This window comes from Homo sapiens, chromosome 1 (assembly GCF_000001405.40).
Source record: "Homo sapiens chromosome 1, GRCh38.p14 Primary Assembly".
Lineage (NCBI taxonomy): Eukaryota > Metazoa > Chordata > Mammalia > Primates > Hominidae > Homo > Homo sapiens.
Genome location: NC_000001.11, coordinates 105336124 through 105341573, shown reverse-complemented (window position 1 = coordinate 105341573; position 5450 = coordinate 105336124). Strand labels below are relative to the sequence as shown.

The following is a 5450-nucleotide window of genomic DNA, read 5'->3' as shown; positions in this document are numbered from 1 at the left end:
CCAAGATGTAATCTCCTAAAAGAGGATTAAGGATGGGTAATTTTAAGATTGTATTTTAAGATAGCCTATATCCTCAGTTATTTTTGCTTTTTTATTTCATAAATTATTGAGACAATTATGTTAAAATTGTTGTTGTTGTTGTTGTTTTCCCAGACAATATTAACCTGTCCCACCTATTTACCAAGTCTTTTATTCTTTCTTGCATGATTTTCAAATAGTACATTAACACTATTTTTGGTATTTCTTTTGGAGTAGGTTTCATAGCAAAACACTATTTCAGTTTTGACTGAAATTATAATTATTTTACCTTTGTTCTTGTTATCATTTTTTTCCCCTCGGAATAGAATTCTAATTTTCCAGTTATCTTTCAGTGCTGTAAAGACATTGCATTGTCTTCTACTGTCCATAATTTCTAATAAGATCAACTGTCTTAGTCCATTTGTGCTGATTGAACAAAATACCTAAGACTGAGCAATTTATAAAGAATAGAAATTCATTTATCACAGTTCTGGAGGTCAGGAAGTCCAAGATCGAGTTGCTGGTGGATTCAGTGTCTGGTGAAGGCTGCTCTCTCTTCTTACAAAATAGCAACATGAATGCTGTGTTCTCAGGAGGGAAGGAACACAGTGTCCCCACATGATGAAAAGGATAAAGGGCAAAGAAAGGGCCTAAGCTAGTTTCCTATTAGCCCTTTTATAGGATACTAATTCATTTATGAGGGCATATCTCGCATGACCTAATAACTTCCCAAAAGGCCTCACCTGTTAATACTACTAAACATCAACATAAATTCTGGAGAAGGTATGCATTCAAACCACAGCATCAATGTTCAATCTTATTTACTTTTTTAAATGGAATGTATCTCTGTTCTTTTGGTTGACGAGATTTTCTCTGTCTTTAGTTTACAGTAATTTAACTATAAGATGCACAGGTGTGGTTTCTTTGTATTTATCTTCCCTTGTGTTTAGAACACTTTGAATATGTAGTTGATGTCTTTCATCACTTTGGGGATATTATTACAGTTTCTCTCTTCAGATAATCCTTTACTTTTATTCTCTTTTTTGGGAGGATTCCAAGTACACATATTGTAAAAATGTTCAATGTACCCAAATGTCTATTATACTTTAAAAAATATTTTTATTAGTTTTTTCACACATTTCTTTAGTCTGTATAATTCTCATCTGTGGTCCAGTTCACTAATCCTCTACTCTGTCATGTCCATTCAGCTGCTATACCTTTATATTAATTTTTAAACTTCATTTTCTGATTTGATACATTCTAAAATATATACTTAAGTCCTGAATACTTATTTCTATGAGTATATAGATAAATTATTAAAATTGTTCTCATTTCAATACTGATAAGCAAAAATTTCTACAACAGATATGTACAATGAAGACAAAAATAAAATTGAGACAGTACACACACATACACACACTTTCCTTCTTCCTCTACTGAGTAAAGACATATGTATTTTTTACTTTATAATTTTATGTTTTGCTTAATTATAATTTTGACACAATAATTTTACATGTTTTGGGGTACAGTTTGATATTTCAATACATGTATACAATGTGTGATGATCAAAATAGGGAAATTAGTATATTCATCACCTCAAACATTTAGCATATCTTTGTCTTGGAAAGAAATAAAATTCACTCTTTCAGCTATTTGAAAATATACAATGAGGTGTTGTTAATTATAGTCACCCTACAGTGCTATAGAACACCAGAATGTATATGACCTATCTAGCTGGAATTTTATACTCGTTAACCAACCTCTGGCAATCCCCACCTCCACACTTCCAGCCTTTTATATTATGTGTGTTACTTCCATTTTTGTTTTTGTTAAATGCTTTTCACAAATTAATCTATTGTAGTTTATGTGCTAATGTAATCCCTTTAATAGTCATCTCAACGCTAATGGTTTTAAATTAAAAACAACCAACCAATAAAAATAAGTGATTTATACCATTTTTTTCTATAACCGCGTTTCTAATTCTAAAAGAGAATTACTTAAAAATACAGCTGATTTTATTATTGTAATATATAATGAGCTTTTATTGATCCTCTAAATCATTGATTAGATATAAAACAAACACATTAAAGAACTGTTTTGAGTAATCAGATTAAAACCACAAAAAAGCTTTTAATTAAAATTTAAGCTATTTTCATACTGAGAAAATATAGTTTTATACAGAAATTTTGAACAACATTAATAAAGTAAATACATACTAGTAAATAAATAAGTAAAATCATTTTACTTAACAATAAAACCCCAAATCTTTAGTTTATTACTTGTTGTCCTTTTATTTAAAAAATCCAAATTAAAACTCTCATTTAAGTCACATTTTCCACCAGGCTATAAATACATTGCACCTCATCCAAAATGTATTACTGTCTTTTTGCCAACTATTCCACGCAATTTCTTAAAACTCTATTTTTAATGATATTGCTTTCTTATAAAGATTCGTCATTCTTACTGTATTTGTTTTCATGTTACTATCTTCTTTGATGCTCCTAGGTAGAAATTATCTTTTCCTTCTTATAATTTTTATAATTATGTTCATTGTTCCCTCATTATTTTATTCATACTGTCTTATAGCTGTTTGTGAAAATCCAAGAAAGTATGTTGTAAAGTATAAATATATATGCAAATAGAGCTCAATAATACCCTATATATTAGTACTACTCATCACTGTGCCTTAGACAGTGCAGACACATAGTGGGTCCATGTAACACTTCATAAATGGATATAATTAATTGTTACTGTTAACACTGTTGATTAATATTTTTGACATGTTTATTGATCTATCAGATGTTGGTTTGTGGTCACCTAGAACTACTGTCATTTCTTACTTAGTTATAGATTAAGTAACATTTTAAAAAAATTTAACGTCCAATAATATTTGCTTCTTTTTAAAATAAAACTAATGACAATAGAATAAAATTTTCTGCAATCGTATAGTACTATGAATTCAATGAATGGGTACTAGATACTAAAATAATAAAATGAAAAAGACAAATATAAAAAATACAAAGGAACACATTCATCTTCAGTTATGAAGGTTAATTATGACACTGCGTTAATAATTTTCAATATACTTTAAGAGCTTTGGTGCACATAGGAGTATGGTCATTCTTCTACATTTTGTGTCCTTCATTTTGTTATTATTGGTTCCTTTCAGCTAAATTTAATTATCTAGAGTATAGATCCATTGAAACCACAGTGTGCAATTTATAGATCTCTTATTTCTCCAATAAAGTATTAATTACAACTTTTTTGAACATTTTAGAACTTAGTGATTGATACTTTTCATTGCAATATTTATTTATTGTTTTTAAATATTTTCAAAATCCTCTTTTCTAGATCGTAAAGAATTTCATACTTTCCTTAACAGGAAGCAGGTAGTTCATTTGTTGCTACTGATCAGTGTTATTATCAATTTTGTTGAAACTATAAAAATATGTCATCCAAAGAGATTTGAAATTTTTAAAATTATATGCATATACCAATCATTTTTTGGAAATTGTCTAAAATGTTATCAGTAATTTATTCACTCAGTTTACTAGCTTCAATGTTTTTATTTCTCAGATTGAGAAAGACGTATTACCAACATTCTTTCATGAGATAGTAAAGTTATTCAATCTTTCGTGTAAAATTATGTAGAAATTCACCCACAGACATTGAGATTTTTATTTTGATATCAAAAGTTTGTAGGATGTATTAACCAATAAATTTTTCTGTGGCCTATAATATTATTGGTCATTAAAAACCATCATATTTACTTTAATTAAATAAAACAAATGGATATAAAATAGTAAAGTTTATCTCAACAAAAACCCCAATGTAGTAGAATATATTTTTAACTGAATATGGGCAGCCAGAGCCTCTGAGGAGTCAAAGGACAGCTGGCATGACAACACTTGACATCCTGTGTGTAATTGGTTTTGAATGCTTGACAGATTTTTATAATGGTATGGAGCACTCAGACTAGCAGGTAACTGTTGGGAACAGATTGACTGGTGATGAGGCCATTTTAATACAGCACTTACATAAGAATCCTTTAGATTCACTTCACATTAAAGATGCATTCTTTTTAGTTCAAAAGCTTTCCCAGCAGTATAACCTTTTCCATCAAATTCAAGCATTGAATAACTTAACGATCAATAATTGTTTAATTAATTTTTTTTCTTTTCTTCCATATTCAACATGTAGGTCAATTTTAGATTGAGAGAAAGACTGTATTAGCTAGAAACAGGGGAAATAAGACCTTTTGGGGCCTAAATTCTATTTATTGTTCAAATATCAGTTGGGTGTCTTTTCATACAGGTACCAGACTCAGTCCAATTGCCAGAAAACAATTTAGATAGTTATAATCATCCCAAAAACACATAAGGAAGTAATAATCAAATTATGACAATAGCTGTGGTACAGAAGGAATAAATCTACATACAGAAACAAAAAGCCAAGGTTTATGCTTTCAATCCACTATTCACATCATAAATTCAAATGTTTCTTCTTCCATCTATAAAGTATGATACTTCCTAGAGTTGTATGAAAATTAAATCAGAGGATACATTTGTGCATATTGTCATTATGTACATGTACATTGCTTGTCATACAATCTACTCTCATCTTCATAATTTATTAAAATTTTTCAAAATTTTATAATATTACTTTATTGTATAGCCTCCTATGTTTTGCTATTATTTTCTTTTGTTTTTTGAGGGGAGGCAAGGTTTGTAGCTGTAACATAATCAATACCTGAAGTTATCAATGGCTTATCAGTTTTTTCCATCCTAAAAACATTAGTAATTTGCAACCTTTCCTTTTACAATTGTTATGCTATCATGAACTGTTTAAATTGATTATTAGGTGGCTACAATTTAAAAGAAAACAACCACTAAGTTTAAAGAGTTACTAACATCAGTATAATACAATTATAGAATGTGAAACCCACTAGAAGTTAGGATAAAAGAAGAAAGATATTGACTATACTGTAAAACAGACAATTTAGCATCCTAATATGTAGAAATAAGATATTCTAGGTGTTAAGAGGAATGAGGAATAATTATTCACTATCAAAATTGTTCATTGTTTTATAGACTAGGAGATTTTTAAGATAAGAACCAAATGGGTAGAATATAGTCAGAGGTGAGAACTGAGAGCAGTAGCAGAAGTAAAGTCACAGGAGAGCAAATATATATATATATATATATAATTTATATAATATATAAAAATTATATATAAAAATATAAAATTTTTATATATTTTTATATTTATATAAAATATTTATATATTTTATTTTATATTAATTTAATTTTAAATTAATTTATATTAATATTAATTTTAATGTCATTTTAAAAAAATAATATTTGTATATTTATATAAAATGTAAAAATTATATATATATAAATTTATATATAAATATGTCACTGTGGTATATG

The 5450-nt window shown here is 28.0% G+C and overlaps 1 annotated feature.

Moving 5' to 3' along the window:
• Positions 3767 to 4268: an enhancer, noted in NCBI's record as "NANOG hESC enhancer chr1:105879928-105880429 (GRCh37/hg19 assembly coordinates)". NCBI's record gives its function as "activates a minimal SCP1, AML or CMV promoter by ChIP-STARR-seq in naive H9 embryonic stem cells {active_cell/tissue: H9 hESC(naive)}" and the evidence as "EXISTENCE:reporter gene assay evidence [ECO:0000049][PMID:30033119]".